The following is an 18,954-nucleotide window of genomic DNA, read 5'->3' as shown; positions in this document are numbered from 1 at the left end:
TTTGAGTTATTCTGCTTCCAAAACCTTTGCTACTCCAGATAAGTTGCCATCTTCCTTTCTCCTTCCTCCATAAAGCACTTACTTGGTGCCTACCATGTACTGCCTTCCTCTGGATATACAACAGAGTTGTTCTCATAAATGGTCTAGGAAGAGCAGGGAATACAAACTTCTTTTTTTATAGCCTTCAAAATACCAAATCCAGGCAATTGTACATTCATGGGCATTCAGGAAATGGTGACTAATTAATCTTGCTATATCTGCCATATTGCCCCTACTTCTCCTTTGGAGAAATGTTGAGGTGGGAGGCTTAGAATTAGGTAAGGGTTTCTCAATCTCAGCACTACTAACATCCGGGGCTGGATAATTCCTTATTGTGAGGGGCTATCTTCTGCATAGTAGGATGTTAGCGGCACCCCTGGCCTCTGTCCACTAGAGGCCAGTAGCACAGACCTCCCTCCTGTTGTGGCAACTAAAAACCATCTCCATACCTTGCCAAATGTCCCCTGGGAGGCAAAATCATCCCTGTTTGAAAACCACTAGGTTAAATGAAAGCAGAATAGACAGACAAAAAGACAACATTCATGATTCTCCTCCTGTACTAATTCTACTACTGCCATTTTATTAAATGTCCTCCCAGCCTTTGTTACCTTTGTTATCCCCCCTCTATTTTCAATGTAACAATTTTGTTGGAACAAGTTATCTCTCAGGTTGCCTGGAGTCACCTGAAAAACTCTTACCCGCCCAGTACTTACTCTCTTAATCCCTCTGGGGCTGTTTCTGGAGTTTTAATTACCACTTAGCTTGATATTATTTGTCTAGAAAGTACAAGGCATCAATGGGAGCCAGCCTCAGAAGAAAATGAAGCCAGGGGAGTAAAGGAAGATTGAATTTGGGAGATATTTTTCGACCTTTATTAAATGTCTACTCTTTGGCAGGTCCTGTACTAAGTTCAGAAAAACAGGCAGCTGGGTCGGACTCCGGAGAGCTTACCAACTGAGGAGCAGAGACAGACTTACTGACACAACAAATGATGTGACACAACTTGTCATGTCTTACCCAGTCTCCGGTGCAGCCTGTTGTCAAGGCTGCACCGGAGACTGGGTAAGACATGACAAGCACAGGGACTCTGACGGTGACAATTAGGGAAGACACAGGAAATGCAGTATGAGCTGAGTCTGTCCATTCAGTGGACAGTACAGTGGGAAGCTGCTTTTTAGTTGGCCTGACACCACTTAATTGATTAACTGCCCCTAAGGGATGGGCATTTGACTCAAACTCAGTCAATCAGATGTTCTCTTTCAGAAATCTAAATCTGGAGGGAAAACTAAAAGGAAAGCAAGCAGCTGGAGTCAAGTCATTTGATGGCAAACAGATGGCCTGTGCATCTTGCCACTGAGACCTTCACAACTGCCCTAGTTTGTTCCCCCAAGGCCTCTGTGACCTACACTCTAATTTTTTTCAAATCTAAAAATTACTATGTGCTGGGCATTGTCATAAGAACTTGACATAGATTAACTCATTTAATTCTAATAACAACCCAATGAGATTAGACATAGCTCATCTCCATTTTAATAAGTGAATAAACTGAGGCACAGATAAGTAATTTGCCAAAAGTCAAGCAGCTAACAAATGGCAATGCTGAAACTCAAACCTAAGCAAGCTAGCTCTAGAGTCCATGCTTTTAATCACTGTTTTAACAAATGACATTTTATATGCTTTTCTGATTTTTAATGAACCCTGACTGATCCAAAGAGTAAGAAAAGATGTTCTGGGTAGAAAGCAGAGGTATGAAAGAAGCTGGCACATTTGAGGAATTACTGTATTTAATAGTAGGAATGCATGGCTGTGGTTAAAATGAAAAGAATAGAAAGCAGTAGCTTGAGACCAAATGAATAGTTAAGGTCAAAACTGAACTAGAAGAAGGTCCAGTTCTCACAGCTTCTCAGAAACACTGATTTAGCAAGGACATATAGACAAAAATACCTTTATGAAAAGTCCAGAAACCAATTAAGATATTGTCGTACTCCAGACAAGAACAAAACCAAGAAGAGTTGCACTGAAACAGGCAAGAAGAACATTTTACCCAGGTCAGCCCCTCCCCAAAGCCGGCACAGCTCAGCACCAAGGAGATCACCTTGGCCTAGGACTTCTCCCTTGGAGGGAGAGAGTAGAGTGTGCAACCAACATCCGGCTTTTCACTGTGCTGCCCTAGGGGCTGGATTTCTGTCTAAACTCACGTGGAATACTAACAAAACCAGCAGGGTTCAGATGCCTGAGAGCAGTTAAGAACAAAGGAAAAGGGGTGGACAGCTTCCTGCACTCAGCACAGCTCTGAGAGATTGAGAGAAGGTACGCAACCCGAGGATTCAGCCTCAGGAGGAAATGAGAGGAGTGGAGCATGTCTTCAACATCCTAGCCTTTTGGTGAGCTGTCCAAGGAGCTGGTTTCTATCTCACCTCACAAGGAGAGCGGACGAAACCAGCATAGTTTGAATGCTCAGGAGCAGTTAAGTAGGAAAAAAAGGGGTCAGTGGCTTGCAGCAGACAGCACAACTCAAGGCTTCTCTACAGCGAAGGAGAGAAAGGAGAGGAGCATCTATGTCCCCGACTGTAGTACAGCAGTCAGACACCAGAGGGAGCAAGACATTCCCTGATACTGGAAAAAAAAAAAAAAAAAGAAATTAAAAAAAAGAAACCAGTAAATCCCTCTACTTAGAAATCCATAAACACATTCAGGCCAGGCATGGTGGCTCATGCCTGTAATCCCAGCACTTTGGGAGGCCAAGGTGGGTGGATCACCTGAGGTCAGGAGTTGTAGACCAGCCTGGCCAAAATGGTGAAACCCCGTCTCTACCAAAACTACAAAAATTAGCCAGGCGTGGTGGCAGGTGCCTGTAATCCCACCTACTTGGGAGGCTGAGACAGGAGAATCGCTTGAACCTGGGAGGCAGAGGTTGCAGTAAGCCGAGATCGTGCCACTGCACTCCAGCCTGGGCAACAAAGATCAAAACTCTGTCTCAAAAAAAAAAAAAAAAAAAAAAAAAAATCATAGAAAAAGTTTAAGAGGCCCCCAGAATCTCTGGCTAAGCTGATTAATAAGAGTCTTTCCCTGTCAAAGCCAGTCTGTAAAAACAGGGAGAGGAGACTGTTTCTTTAATTGTGCAGACACCAATGCAAAGCTACAAGGAAGAAAGAGCATCAGGGAAATGTAACACAATCAAAGTACCAAAATAAATGTCCAGTAATCAACATTAAAGAGATGAAGATCTATGAACTGCCCAACAAAGAACTAAAAATAATTGTCTTATAAGAACACAGAAAAGTAAATGAAATTAGGAAAATGATATATGAGCAAAATAAGAGTATCAACAAAGAATTGATAAACTATAGAAAGAACTAAACAGCAATTCTGGAGCTAAAGAATATAATAACTGAACTGAAAAATTGACTAGAGGGCCATACCAGCATATTTCAGCAAGCAAAAGAGAATCGGAGAATTTGAAGCAGGTCATGTGAAATTACCCAGTCCAAAAAGAAAAAAGAACAAAGAAAGAAGAAGAGTTAAGAAAGCCTAAGACACTTACAGTACACCAACAAGCAAACCAATGTGTGCATTATGGGTGTCTCGGGAGAAGAAAAAAAGGAGCTGAAAGCTTATTTAAGGAAATAGTGGCTGAAAACTTCACAAATCTAGAAAGAGTAATGGACATCCAGATTCATAAAGCTCAAAGGACCCCAAATAAGATTAATCCAAAGAAACATACATTAAGATACATTGTAATCAAACTGTCAAAATTCAAAAACAAAAAGAACTTTAAAAGCAACTCGTATCTCCCACAAGGATGAAAAGCAACTTTTCATGTACAAGGGAGCCCCCATCAGACTAGCAGTGAACTTCTTAGCAGAAACTTTGCAGGCCAGAGAAGGGACTGGGATAATGTATTCAAAGTGCTGAAAGAAAAATTGCCAACCAATAATCCTATACTTGGCAAAACCGTCCTTCAAAAATGTAGATCAAGACTCCCAAACAAACGAAAGCCAAGGAAAACTGTCATTACTAGTCTTTTCTTAAACTAAACGCTAAAGACAGGTGAAATGAAAAAACACAAAACATCAATGTGAAAACACAGGAAAGTATAAAACTCACTAGTAAAGGCAAATACATAAACAAATATAGGATATGGTAATACTGTAATAGTGGTGTGCTTTAGTTCTAGTATAAATGTTAAAAAAACTATCAAGAATAACTGTAACTATAAAAATTTGCTAATGGATATACAATATAAAAAGATGTAAACTGTCACATCAATAACAAAGTATGGGGAGACAAGTGTACAGCTTTTGTATGCAATGGAAGTTAAGTTGTTTTCAGCTTAAAATAGACTGTTAAAACAATAAGATGTTTTATGTAAGACCCATGGTAACCACAAATGAAACACCTTTAGAGACTACACCAAAGAAAAACAGAAAGGAATTGAAACATCTCACAAAAGAATCAACAAGTCACAAAGGAAGATAACAAGAAAGGAAAAGATAGAAGAAAAAACTGTAAGACAGAAAACAAAATGGCAATAGTAAGTCCTTCTCTATCAATAATTACTCTAAACATTAAGTGGATTAAACTCCCTGATATGGTTTGGCTCTGTATCCCCACCCAAATCTCATCTCAAATTTTAATCCCCATGTATTAAGGGAGAGACCTGTTGGAAGGTGATTGGATCATGGGGGCAGTTTCCCCCATGCTGTTCTCGTAATAGTGACGGAGTTCTCACAAGAGCTGATGGCTTAAAGTGTAGCACTTCCTCGCCCTTTCTCTTGCTCTCTTCTGTTACCTTGTGAAGGTGACTGCTTCCCCTTTGCCTTCCGCCATAATTGTAAGTCTCCTGAGGCCTCCCCAGTCATGTGGAACTGTTGGTCAATTAAACCTCTTTTCTTTATAAATTACACAGTCTTAGGTAGTATAGCAACGTGAGAATAGACTAATACATTCCCCAGTTAAAAGACACAAAATGGCTGAATGGATTAAAAAAAAAGACCAAACTATAACTTGTCTACAAGATACTCGCTTTAGATTTAAGGACATACACATAGTTTGATAGTGAAGAAACGGATAAAGACATTCCATGCAAATGGTAACCAAAAGAGAGCAGAGGTAGCCATACTTATATCAGACAAAATATACTTTAAGTTAAAAATTGTCACAAGGACAAACAAGGTCATTACATAATGATAAAAGGGCCAATTCATCAGGAAGATATAACAGATCTGAAGGGAGAAACAGATGATACAATAACAGTAGGAGACTTCAATAACCCCACTTTCAATAATTTATAGAACATCCAGACCAAAATCAGTAAGAAAACAAAGGACTTGAAGAACACTATAGATCAGTGGTCCCCAAGCTTTTTGGCACTGGTTTCATGGAAGACAATTTTTCCAGACTGGGCATAGGGGGGTGTTTCATAAGGCATTAGATTCTCATAAGGAGCACGCAACCTAGAGCCTTCACATGCACAGTTCACAATAGGGTTCACGCGCCTATGAGAACCTAATGCCATGGCTGATCTGACAGAGCTCAGGCAGTAATGTTCGCCTGCCACTCACCTCCTGCTGTGTGGCCCAGTTCCTAACAGGCCACGGACTGGTACCAGTCCGTGGCCTGGGGGCTGGGGTCCCCTGCTACAGATGAAATGGATATAACAGACACATACAGAACATTCCAGCCAATAGCACCAGAACACATATTTTCCTCAAGTGCACATAGATCATTCTCAAGAACAGACTATATGTTAGGTCACAAAACAAGTCATAACAGATTTAGGAAAACTGAAATCAGACCAAGTATCCTTTCGGATCACAAAGAAATACAATTAGAAATCAACAGAGGGAAAACTAGAAAATTCACAAATATGTGGAAATTAAACAACACACTCTTGAACACCCAATGGGTTAAAGAAGAAATCAAAAGGGAAATTAGAAAATATTTCAAGACAAATAAAATTGAAAACACAACATACCCAAAATTATGGGATGCAGAAAAAGCAGTACTAACAAGAAAACTTATAGCAATAAACACCTATCTTAAAAAAAAAGAAAGCTATCAAATAAAAAACCTAAATTTACACCTCAAAGAACTGAAATAAGACAAATAAACTAGGCCCAAAGTTAGCAGAAGGAAATAATGAAGATTAGAACAGAAATAAATAAAATAGACAATAAGAAGTAGAAAAAACCAACAAAACGAAGACTTGGGTTTATGAAAAGATGAACAAAATTGACAAACCTTTAGCTAGACTGACAAAAAAAGAAAGAAGATTCAAATAAATAAGAGACGAACAAGACATTATAACTAGAAATAAAAACCAATGCCACAGAAATAAAAAAGGCTCATAAGAGACTATCATGAACAACTGTATGCCAACAAATTGGATAATCAAGAAGAAATGAATAAATTCCTAGAAAAATACAACCTACCAAGACTGAATCATAAAGAAATAGAAAATCTAAACAAACCAATAATGAATAAGGAAATTTAATCAGTAATCAAAAACTTCCCAACAATGAAAAAGGCCAGGACTAGATAGCTTCATTGCTGAAGTCAACCAAACATTGTGAGAAGAATTAACAATACTTCTAATGTGCTTAAACTTTTCCAAACACCTGAAGACAGAGAACTCATTTTATGAGGCCAGCATTACCCTGATACCAAAGCCAGACACATGCATTATGACACAAGAAAGCTACAGGCCAATATCCCTGATGAACACAGATGTAAAAATCCTCAACAAAATATTAGCATTAGAAGGATCATACACCATGAATAAAAAGGGGTTTATCCCTGGGATGCAAAGACGGTTCAGTATATGCAAGTCAATTAATGAGATACACCACATTAACAAAATAAAGGAGAAAAATCATATGATCATCTAATTAGATGCAGAAAAACCATTTGATGAAATTCAACAACCTTTATGATAAGGGCTCTCAACAAATTAGGTATAGAAGAAATGTGCCTCACCGTAAGTAAGACCATATATGAAAAGCCATAGCTAACATCATATTCGATGATGAAAAACAAATATTTTCTTCTAAGACCAGGAACAAGACAAGGATGCCTACTCTCATCACTTCTATTCAACAAGGTACTGGAAATCTTAGCCAGAGTAATTATGCAAATGAAAGAAAAAGAAAGAAAAACAACCAAATCAGAAAGGAAGCAGTAAAAATATCTGCTGTGTTCCTATACACTTATAACAAACTATCCAAAAAGGAAATTGGGAAAACAATCTTGTTTATAATAGTATCAAAAAGCATAAAATACTTAGGAATAAACTTAAGGAAGTGAAAGACTTGTATATTGAAAACTACAAAGAAATTGATGAAAGAAATTAAAGACACAAATAAATGGAAGGACAGTCTGCATTCATGGATTGAAAGACTTAATCCTGTTAAAATGTCCATACTAACCCAGGCAGTCTACGGATTCAGTGCAATCACTATCAAAATCCCAATGGCATTTTTTTACAGAAATAGAAAAAAAACTTAAAATTCATATAGGACCACAAAGGAATCTGAACTGCCAAAGCAATTTTGAAAAAGAACAGAGCTAGAAGTATCACACTTCCTGATTTCAAAATATATTACAAAGCTACAGTAATTAAAACAGTATGGTACTGGCATAAAAAAGACAAAGCTGCCAAGACTACACATAGTAAAAGAATATGCTCTTCAACAAAAGGTGTTGGGAAAACTGGATATCCACATGCAAAAGAATGAAATTGGAACCTTATTTTATAACATACACAAAAATCAACTCAAAATGGATTAAAGATTTAAACATAAGACCTAAAACTACAAAATTCCTAAAAGAAAATGTGTAGGAGAAGCCTGATGGCATTGGCTTAGTTAGGCAATGATTTTTTTTATATGATACCAAAAGTGCAGGCAACAAAAGCAAATACAGACAAGGAGAACTATATCAAACTAAAAAGCTGCACAGCAAAGGAAACAGTCAACAAAGTGAAAAAGCAACCTACAGAATGGGAGAAAATATTTGCAAACCATACATATGATAAGCAGTTATTATCCAAAATATATAAGGAATTCCTGTAACTCATATATTTATGCTTATTGCTATAAGTTTATATAAAACTTAATGCTTTAAGTTTTCTTGTCAGGATTGCTTTTTCTGCATCCCATAATATATATATTATATATATATTTGTAGTATGTTTACACATTATAACATACTGTAACTGAATAGCAAAAATAATAATATGATTTAAAAATAGGCAAAGGACTTAAATATTTCTCCAAAGAAGACATACAAATGGCCAACAGGTATGTGAAAACATGGTCAACATCACTAATCATCAGGGAAATGCAAATCAAAACCACAATGAGATATCACTTTACATCTGTTAGGACGGCCATTATCAAAAAAACAAAACAAAACAAAATCTAACAAGTGTTGGAGAAGATGTGGAGAAATTGGAACCCTTGCACAATGTTGATAGGACTACAAAATGGTGCATGGAAAACAGTATGAAGCTTCCTTGAAAAATGTAAAAGTAGAACTACTACCTAGTAAAGAAAAGCCCAGGACCAAACTGCTTCACTGCTGAATTCTACCAAACATTTAAGGAAGAACTAATACTAATCCTACTCAAACTATTCCAAAAAGCAGAGAAGGAGGGAATACTTCCAAACTCATTCTACAAGTCCAGTATTACCCTGATACCAAAATCAGACAAAGACACATCAAAAAAAACAAAAAACAAACAAAAAAACTACAGCACAGTATCTCTGATGAAGATTGATGCAAAAATCCTCAAAAAAAATACTAGCAAACCAAATTCAACAATACATTAGAAAGATTATTCATTATGACCAAGCAGGATTTATCCCTGGGATGCCAGGATGGTTCAACATATGCAAATCAATCAATATGATACATCATATCAACAGAATAAAGGATAAAAACCATATGATCATTTCAACTGATGCTAAAAAAAAAAAAGGCATTTGGTAAAAGTAGAACCCTTAGTAAAAGCAGAATCCCTGTATGATCCAGGGATCTCACTTGTGGATATATTTCAATTCATAAGAATTGAAATGAGAATCTCAAAGAGACATCTGCACTCCCATGTTAAGTGCAGCATTGTTTGCAATAGCCAAGATAGGGAAACAACCTAAACATCCATCAGCAGATGAATGGATAAAGAAAATGTGATATATACATATAATGGAATATTATTCAGCCTTAGAAGGAAATCTCATCACATGCTACAATGTGGATCAACTTGAAGGGCATTATGCTAACTGAAATAAGCTAGTCATAGAAGGACAAATACCGCATGACTCCACTTATATAAAGTATCTAAAAAGGTCAGTCATAGAAACAGAGATTACAATGTTGATTGTCAGGGGTGAGGAAAGGGGGAAATAGGGGAGTTGCTATTCAACAGGTATAAAGTTTCAGTTATGCAAGATGATTAAGTCCTAGAGATCCACTGTACAATATTGTTAACTATATCATTAATAATAAAGTCAGCAATATTGTACTGCACACTTTAAAATTTACTAAATGTTCTTACCATAATAAAAAAAGTCAAATTTTTTAAAAGACAGATTTCTCCATTTTTTAATACAGTTAAAATAAACTATGAACTTAGGAGCTACGAGGATAAGCTGGGAGGGTTTGAAATCAAACTCCTATAATGAATTAACTAATACATTATAAAGAACAAAGAAACAAACAAGACAAAGGGCAGCAAATATAAAACAAAATTTTGTTTAACCTTATAAATGAGTAAGGAACACTATGTTTTATTTATTGGCATGGATGATGACTATGGGTGTGTTCACTTGTAATAATTCATTAAGCTTATGATTTATAACCTTTTTTGTAAGTTATATGGCAATAAAAAAGGTAAAAAAAAACAAGTACATACTCTTTGTTCTGGCATTTGTAGACATGATTGAGAGAAGAGTAAGTATGAAGAATAGATAGAATGTTTTTCATGTTTAGGGATTCAGGATCCTCTACTATTCTCTTCATAAACAGGTCCATTAAACCAACAGGTCGAAAGCCAAGGTTTTCAAATAAAATGAGGATAAAAAGAACCTTAAAAAGAGAAAATTGAGGGAAAACTCTATAATAATTACAGTATGCTAATAGTAATTTTTTAGATCTCAAAAAATCTAAGCAGCAATTCAACTGTCCTGATCAACAGAATATATCCTGAAACAGAATATTTCCATGAAAAGGAACAATCATCTTTCTCTCACAAAATCTGTTCTATTAATTCTTGAATTGGGTATCAAGTTAATAAGCAATCTTTTTTAAGCTGAGAACCAGGGCATACAATGATTTCTACGTTTCCATCTGATTTAAAAATAAATCTCTTCCTACATGCTTTTCATACAACATATCTGAAAATTACTTTTAAATATGCCTTTTCTGAAGGTTTTCAAAATGACCAACTCAATCTTGAACTTCTCGCATTCCCAAACTTAAATACTTCCTAGATTCTAACATGTAAGACATAACCCCAAAATTTCTATATTTAATATTCATACCTATAAGTGAAAATGGAACTGAAACATTATGATTAAAATAAACTTTCAAGTTCACCTCCAATTTCCTTCTCAATCTTTCTTACTTAGGATTATTACTTCTCTTTCTATAACCAATTTCCACAGTAAACTCAATATTTACCTTACTCTCCAAAATAAACTGAACCTAGAGATCTAACAGTTATCACCTATTTCATTGCAAAAAGAAGTTTTTACCAGGTGCTTCATTAAATGTTTATATTCTTAACACAGCTCCTGATTTTAAAGGCTTTTACTCTGGATAAAACAATGGACATGACCATTAAGTAGTGACATTTTATTCTTCAAAAACCCCAAGCCTGTCACATCACCCATCTTTATTATTTGAAATCTAACAAGAACAAAGTATAAACACGGAAATCATGCTAAATATCTAACAAAAGTACCATACAACCCTTTTTTTTTTTTTTTTTTTTTGAGACAGAGTTTTGATCTTTATTGCCCAGGCTGGAGTACAGTGGCACAATCTCAGCTTACTGCAACCTCCACCTCCCAGGTTCAAGTGGTCCTCCTGCCTCAGCCCCCCTAGTAGCTGGGATTACAGGGACACGTCACCATGCCCGGCTACTTTTTGTATTTTTAGTAGAGATGGGGTTTCACCATGTTGGCCAGGCTGGTCTTGAACTCCTGACCTCAGGTGATCCACCCACCTTGGCCTCCCAAAGTGCTGGGATTACAGGCGTGAGCCACCGCGCCCAGCCCATACAACCCTTTTAAAACGAAAAAGAAGAGCAAATTTTTGTTTCAAATAGAAAGATGACCAAAGGATAGAATAGTATACAGATTGTCCTTGACTTACGGTGGGGTATATCCCAACAAACTCACCATAAATTGAAAATATTTTAAGTCAAAATGCATTTAATACATCCAACTTACTGAACATCATAGCTTAGCCTAGCCTACTTTAAACACGCTTAGAACACTTACATTCACCTATAGTTGGGCAAAATGAGTTAACAAAAAGCCTATATTATAATAAAAGTGTTGAATATCTCAAGTAATTTATTGAATACAATATGCATTGTTTACCCTCATGATTGCACAGCTGATTGGGAGCTGCGACTTGCTGCCACTGCTCAGCATGAAAAGAGAGCATCATACAACATATCACTAACCCAGCAAAACAACAAAATTCAAAATTCAAAGTATGGTTTCTACTGAATGCGTATTGCTTTTGCAACATCAAACAGTCAAAAAATATTAAGTCAAGCCATCCTAAGTTGGGGACTATTCATATTAGCAAGTAGCCCCCAGACAGGAATAATAAGGAGCTAATTTTTCAAAAGTCAATTCAGCATTGGAATATTTTGGTATCTTAACTACTATAAAGGTGAAAGAGAAATACTTAAAATGCTACATGAATTAGTGTTTTAAAAGTTTGTGAGGCTTATTCTAAATTGTTAATGTACTCACTTTTCTGAACTTCCAGATGTCGAAAGTTGCAGCCACATAATCTGCAAGTCCCTTGAAGAGATCCAAATTATGGTACTGGAGGTCTTTGCAGGACTGCAATATGTTGATCATTATTCTTAAAGGACACCCATGGATATTATCTTGAAGAATGAGTTAAATAAACAAACAAAAATTACCTGATTGTTTTGAATACAACATGCTTTATTCTTTTTTCATATAAAAGCAAAGTTTTTAAAACAAAACAAAAATAGTCTAAAACAGAAGCTCAGGTATTGCAAATGATGAAAGAAAAATTCCTCTTACCTAGGACCACCTTACTGCATTCATCCAGGAGTATAAGAGATCGGTGATTCATGGCAGCTAGTACTTCAAACATGTGTTGGCTATTCAAAACAGAAAATCTGTCTAATTCCCTCAAGGCTTTCATCTAAAGAAAAAACAAATTTTAATTTAATTTACTATCTGTGACAAAATAAATTAAACTTTTATTTTTATTGAGACAGGGTCTTGTGCTGTCACCCAGGTTGGAGCCTCAACCTCCCAGGCTCAAGTGATCCTCCTGCCTCAGCCGCCCATGTAGCTGGGATTACAGGCATGCACCACCTACAGGCATGTACCACCACGCCTGGCTAATTCTTTGATTTTTTTTTTTTTTTTTTTTTTTTTTGCAGAGACAGGGTCTTGCTCAGTCACCCAGGCTGGTCTCAAACTCCTGGGATCAAGAGATCTCCCTGCCCTTGACATCCCAAAGTGCTGGGATTACAGGTGTGAGCCACCATGTCTGGCCTAAACATTTATTTTTAAACAAAAAGGATGAAGTTTGGGTAATATGACCCAGACAGATAAATAAATATACATGTATATATATACAGATAAATAAATATAAGGGTACTTCTATTCATTCACTTTAGTGAAGCTAAACCTAAAAGCCCAGCAATGTCCTCCTAGAAAATTGACTTCAGGCAGTGATAGCAGGTTATAAGAAAGATTTTTTCAAATCTCATCCACTAGAGAAAATTCATGTGTTTACCTCCAGTTTCCTCTTAAGAGCAATCGGTGCATCTTTTCCAATACACTTCATCACAACTTGTAATGTGAAGACATCTTCTATTTTCCAAACTTGCTGATCAACTAGTATTCTGTTATCAAACACAATAAATATTAAAATCATAGAATCTTCAAAGCAGAAGAAAAATCTTAAAATTTCATTTGGTCCAGCCCCTTCTTACAGGCAAGGATTATGAAGCCCAGAGAAATGATCTACCTGCTTGAGAGAGTGTAAGTAGTTAAAGATCGAGACCCAATCTATTAATAGTGCTATTTTCTCTCACATTATTGTGCTGTCTTTACTAAAGAACAAATTATGTCAGGAGATTATAGTAACATATCCTATGCATAGTCAATGTCAAAGGGAGTTAAGTTTTACTCTCACTAATCTATGACATTAGATCATTTATATCAATTTTATAAATCCCTTTTCAAGCTGGGTCAACGTCAACCCTCACATAGTCCCCGAATAACTATTCTGAATTAAATATACATATCAATTCTCTCCTACCCCGCATCAGTACTATTTTTTTTTTTTTTTTTTGAGACAGAGTCTCGCTCTGTTGCCCAGGCTGGAGTGCAGTGGCGCGATCTCAGCTCACTGCAAGCTCTGCCTCCTGGGTTCACGCCATTCTCCTGCCTCAGCCTCCCAAGCAGCTGGGACTACAGGCACCCACCACCACACCCGGCTAATTTTTGTATTTTTAGTAGAGACGGGCTTTCACCATGGTCTCGATCTCCCGACCTCGTGATCCGCCTGCCTCGGCCTCCCAAAGTGCTGGGATTACAGGCATGAGTCACTGCGCCTGGCCAGTACTATGTTTTAAAATAAATTAATTTAGATTTCAATGTTACTCACATCTTTGTTATTATGGACCCTAAGAGAAGTATTTCCAGCCTATGTCATCCAGAGTCAGGATTTTAAGCTTAATAAGGTATGAAAGACTGTAACTACCAACAAAGCCTCCCCAACCCCTCCTCCCCTCAAGAAAGGAGTTTAGTTTTCATCTCAATTTTTTTATTCCAGATATATGAGGAACAAAGAAAACCACATGAAGAAAGCATAAGAGAGTTCTCACCTGAATCCCGTTCGTAGAACATGAACATTCTTGCATGGTTCCATTGCCTCTAAAACAGTTGACAAAACTGAAAGGCATATCTCATCACACTCATTGATACGTTCCTATTGAAATATAATTACAAAAACACTACAGGTGATGAGCCCATAGTAAACTATCTTACCCAAGCAAAACCACTGAACTGATGTACTGAATAAAACGATTGAGTATCAAACCAACAATTCCTACAGTCAGTCCACAATAAACAGCATCTTTGGGAAATAAAAAGTCATACTTACTGAATTTTCCAGCTGACTGATACACATCCTTTTATGCATCAACACTTTTTTACCTTCACCATTATCACTGAAAACACATTTGATATTTATTATATTCCACTGCTTCTGAAACAACTTTTATTAAACATTATTTTTACCTCTTCTTGGAATTCAAGGTCATTACAAAGGCAAAAACAGTTAAAGTGCAGGAATATAAGAACTACTGAAGTACAGAAGGTAACTAGCCCATCTCTAAAGATCCTTAAATGGTTGTGCCTTTACAATTTCCCTAGATCCTTTCCTGGGTATCAAGCTGAAACTTTACTTGTGAGTCTTCTGATTCACATCTCCTGCCACATTCTACCACTGCTATCTGGGTCTCAAGGGAAGCCTACACCCCACAGATTCTTCTTTCAGGTCCCTTTACTTAGGGTACTAAGTTTGATTCCAGAAATAGTGGGCATAATCTGGAAAGTGAATAGTAACAACACAGCTTAACTAGCAGTACTCTACAGTTTAATCACTAGTCTATAAACCTCACAAAAAATCACATCTGAGGAAACTTAGCCTGAAGAGAGAGAAGCTCTTTTGCTAAAATTACATAACCAATGAATCACAAAGTCTTAAGTCAGAACCAGGTAATAATAAGAAATGGTTATGGTTAGAAGAAAAAAAAGGTTTCTTTCCTATGAAAGGGTTTCCTTAACAATTTTACAGCATTCCATCCATATCTACTATGAAAGAAAAGACCACTTGTCTATGTGTTTGAAGGGCAAATTCATTGATGGCACACTGTCCTTTCACCTCTAAAATGTCTTTACATTATTCCAACAGGTCAGTGAGACACCATCATCCATACAGATGTTTTGACTACAAAAATCTACTACTCATACCTCACCAACACAGATGTCATCCCGATGCAAATATCTGTCCAAAATCTAGTAAGAGCATCACTGACCAGGTAAGGTGATTTATTAGTCACTTTTAAATAACTACATAGGAACTAATACACAGCCTACAAATAAACAGGGATATTCTGTGGTTTAAACAAATACACACACATACACTAAATAAAAATTAGTTATTCCTTAAGGACATATGGAAATCACAGTAATGTAAAAAGTTAAAAACTTTCCCATAGCTATGAACCCAATTATTGAATTCTATAGCAAGACAGGATATATGCCAGATTATCCCCAAGGAATTCCTGTCTTTTAAAAAATTATTATTATTATTTTCAGACAGGGTCTGGCTCTGTCACCCAGGCTGGAGTGCAGTGGCACGATCATGGCTCACGGCAGCTTCGACCTCCCAGGCTCAAGTGATATTCCCACCTCAGCCTCCCAAGTAGCTGGGACCACAGGCAAGTACATCACACCCAGCTAATTTTTGTATTTTTTGTAGAGATGGAGTCTCCCTTTGTTGCCCAGGCTGGTCGCAAACTCCTGGGCTCAAGAGATCCTCCTGCCTTGGCCTCCCAAAGTGCTGGGATTACAGGTGTGAGCCACCACACCTGGCTAAGAAATTACTTCATTATCACTGAGTTTATACGTCAGAAGTGTACACTCTTAAAACATAAATGATTAACAAGCTAATCCTTCCTTCCTTACATTTGGCACCATTTCAGTGACATTAAACAGGACACTGACATTCTTGCTTTAGACTAAAAATGGCTCCCTCCATCCAATTTTAACCTTCTTCCAATACATCTTCCACTCATTCAGTGATCTAAAATACAAATTTGAGCACGTCAACCCATTGCTTAAAATTCTTCAACGGATTCCCATTGCCTACAGGATAAATGCATACTCCTTAGCTAGCCGTAAGAGGCTCTTTATGATTTGGTTCCTATTTTTCTGGCCTCTTGTTCTGCCCCTAAGCCTCTTGCCCCTCACTCCTCTCCTTTGATCGCCATGTACAAAACTTGTTCCCACCCACTCAAACATACAACTCCATCATTCTGTGCTTCAGCTACACCAAACTACTTTCAGCTCTTCAAATTTGCCAAACTTTTCCTCTGGGAACAGTAGGGCATGCAATCCTCTCTACTTGAAACACCATCCCCTTCACTATCATTCTGCTCATCAGTTTAGGTATCATCTACTGGGCCTGAATTCCAATTCTACCATGGACTAAATTCTCTTCCTTCCCCTTCCCTTCTCTCCTTCTTCAACTACCCAGGCTTTCTTTGTATATCTTGCATCTCTCCTCACTTTAGCTTCTTCACCACTACTCAACCCTGGGGATGGTAAATGTGGAAGGCTTTCATAAATTTCCATAGCAAAAGGAAGAAAATAGCTAACTTAAGGCCTCTAAATCATATAATATATATGCAGAAATAAATATAAAGGAAACTACCATTCCATTTGATAGTCTCTTTTAAGAAGGCTACATATCTATATCCCTTCATTCTTTCAAAATATTCTAAATCAAGTAAATGCATGTTTAAATCTCCTTTTTATTTTACCTGGGTCACCCTCAGCAAAGTCTGCACCAAAATAGTGTTCTGAGGGATTCCAAGCTTCACTATGGCGTGAAGACTGAACAGTAGGTACTTATACTGCATGATCTTGGCTTCTCTCATCATATGTTCACAGAGCTGATTAAATGCAGGGTGGCTAAACATCAGTCGTTTTTCAAAGCGCTTCTGGTCATCAGACAGTCTTTTGGCAATTGTCCACATTGCTGTGAAATAGTTGCTACTAGGAAATGTGGGCGCTTTTGAAAATGCATCTAACACATCACTCAGGGAATTACATTCCTCAGACAGTTTTCTACTGCTGATACGGTTTGGTTTTGTTTCCTTGGTAAGAACATCTTCATTGGAGACTTCATGATTAAGGTTTACTTTCTTCAATTCATCATCAGATTTATCAACAGGGACAAGAGACTGCTTTGAGTCAAAAAACAGTCTTTTAGCATAAAGTAGTCTTTCAATTCTAAGGGCTGTTAGAGTGCTTATGCCCTTTGTTTGAAAGCCAACATCTGATTTAAAAATGAATGCATCCTGAAAGAGATATCTAATGATATCAGTTGATTGCATTCTGTTATGAAAGTTATTTAAAATGTTCCAGTTTGAATGAACTATTTTTGGTTTGCAAAGTCCCAAACAACATAGCCTCATAGTTCTGCTTGTTGAAACTAATGTACTGAATTGTCTAAGGTTCCAGAAAAAGGAGCCCGCTTTGTTATTCATTTTGCTCTCCACTGAAACACTTCCAAATGGCTTCAAAGTTGTCAACATGAAACCAACGTCACTTCTACTAGTGAAAAAGAACACGTGCTGTCGTTTTCCTGTAGGGGAAGAAGTAATGAAAAGAATAAAAATTAAAACAAAACTTTTACTTAAAGAAATGAAATGCATTTAACAGAAGAGAAAATGGGGAACCTATGGAGCCATTAAACATTTACATAAAACAGTAAAAGTTTTTTTTACCAATGTGGGCTCCCTCCAATCTACCACAATGTGTCCAGTTTCAAAGAAGCCAGGTCACTTTGGAAGTAGTCATTGTATTAATGAGATTTTTCTGGTGCAAAAGCGTTCCATAAAGCTTTCTCTGTAGGAGAGACTTTTGTTGGCATTGTTATGGAAATGTCCTCGGTGAAAATTAGGGGATTAGCATTGATAGATCATTTTCTTTTCTCTTCTCTGTTTTTTTTTTTTTTTTTTTTTTTTTTGAGACAAAGTCTTGCTATGTCCCCCAGGCTAGAGTGCAGTGGCGCGATCTTGGCTCACTGCAACCTCCACCTCCCAGGTTCAAGCAATTCTCCTGTCTCAGCCTCCCAAGTAGCTGGGATTACAGGCGTATGCCACCACGCCCGGCTAATTTTTGTATTTTTTGTAAAGACGGAGTTTCACCATGTTGGCCAGGCTGGTCCTGAACTCCTGACCTCAGGTAATCCACCCGCCTCGGCCTCCCAAGGCGTGAGTCACCGCGCCCGGCTGATAGATCATTTTCAACATGACGATTTAGCAACGGCCGAACCCAGACCATCAAGAATAGGGACCTGGGCAGGTAGAACGGCTCAGTGGAAGAAGCAGAAAACGAAAGCGATGTCTGCACGTGGCCTGCGCTTAAGAGGAAGATCTTATACAACCAGCCAGCCTCACCAGACCCCAGAACCAACTTCAAGAGCCTGTCCTTCCGCAGCTGGGCCGCCCAGCATTAACCCACCTCCTTTAAACTTACTTCCAGGACAACTCGTGAGACTCTTCTCCTCGAAGTAAAAAGTCTAGGATGTGATACGGGCTGCCGCTAAGCCCAAGCTCGTCCTCCACTCACCTTAGAGCACAAGACCGTGACTACGTACAGGAGCAGCCATGACAGCTTCCCCGAGAAGCTGCGCTTCTCACGAGATCTTACGGATTCCCTCAAAGGTCAAAAAGCATATGTTCGCGGCTGTAGCTGAAGGACTTACTTGAAGAAAGTTTACCAAGGAGAATGACTAATTTCCCTGCATACAGGAGTGGGGCTCGGGGATACCACAGAGCTTATAAGGGCGATGTTTGATCGTGTATCGCAACGTAACCCATTCAGGTCC

At 37.6% G+C, this 18,954-nt stretch overlaps 1 protein-coding gene and 2 non-coding genes across 5 annotated transcripts in view, besides 2 other annotated features; 1 reads left to right on the top strand and 2 right to left on the bottom strand.

Annotated features, from left to right (window-relative positions):
* The window catches only part of FASTKD2 (FAST kinase domains 2), a 30,584-nt gene extending 11,840 nt beyond the window's left edge, over positions 1-18,744 (bottom strand). The window contains exons 1-7 of one of the 3 annotated variants that reach the window (NM_001136194.2): positions 18,588-18,744; positions 16,880-17,706; positions 14,156-14,259; positions 13,060-13,168; positions 12,333-12,456; positions 12,030-12,169; positions 9,953-10,125 (exon numbers count right to left, since the gene is read on the bottom strand). In NM_001136194.2, the coding sequence (NP_001129666.1) occupies positions 9,953-10,125; positions 12,030-12,169; positions 12,333-12,456; positions 13,060-13,168; positions 14,156-14,259; positions 16,880-17,656 (1,427 nt within the window). In that variant the 5' untranslated portion in view covers positions 17,657-17,706; positions 18,588-18,744. The remainder of the gene's footprint in view (positions 1-9,952; positions 10,126-12,029; positions 12,170-12,332; positions 12,457-13,059; positions 13,169-14,155; positions 14,260-16,879; positions 17,707-18,587) is intronic. The other 2 variants (NM_001136193.2, NM_014929.4) reach the window with 2 other exon arrangements.
* On the top strand, positions 1,042-1,116 carry MIR3130-1 (microRNA 3130-1). The gene has a single exon (NR_036077.1). It is a non-coding gene; the product is annotated as a microRNA 3130-1 (primary transcript).
* MIR3130-2 (microRNA 3130-2) lies at positions 1,042-1,116 on the bottom strand. The gene has a single exon (NR_036078.1). It is a non-coding gene; the product is annotated as a microRNA 3130-2 (primary transcript).
* Positions 13,452-14,651: an enhancer, noted in NCBI's record as "CDK7 strongly-dependent group 2 enhancer chr2:207634423-207635622 (GRCh37/hg19 assembly coordinates)". NCBI's record gives its function as "activates an origin of replication core promoter dependent on BRD2, BRD4, P300/CBP, MED14 and CDK7 cofactors, with strong dependence on CDK7, by STARR-seq in HCT116 cells {active_cell/tissue: HCT116}" and the evidence as "EXISTENCE:reporter gene assay evidence [ECO:0000049][PMID:35650434]".
* Positions 18,474-18,853: an enhancer, noted in NCBI's record as "active region_17028". NCBI's record gives its function as "activates an Ori minimal core promoter by ATAC-STARR-seq in GM12878 lymphoblastoid cells {active_cell/tissue: GM12878}" and the evidence as "EXISTENCE:reporter gene assay evidence [ECO:0000049][PMID:35858748]".

The sequence above is a fragment of the Homo sapiens genome, chromosome 2 (genome assembly GCF_000001405.40).
Source record: "Homo sapiens chromosome 2, GRCh38.p14 Primary Assembly".
NCBI lineage: Eukaryota > Metazoa > Chordata > Mammalia > Primates > Hominidae > Homo > Homo sapiens.
Note: the sequence above shows the minus strand (reverse complement) of the source record. Positions and strands in the feature narration are given on the sequence as shown.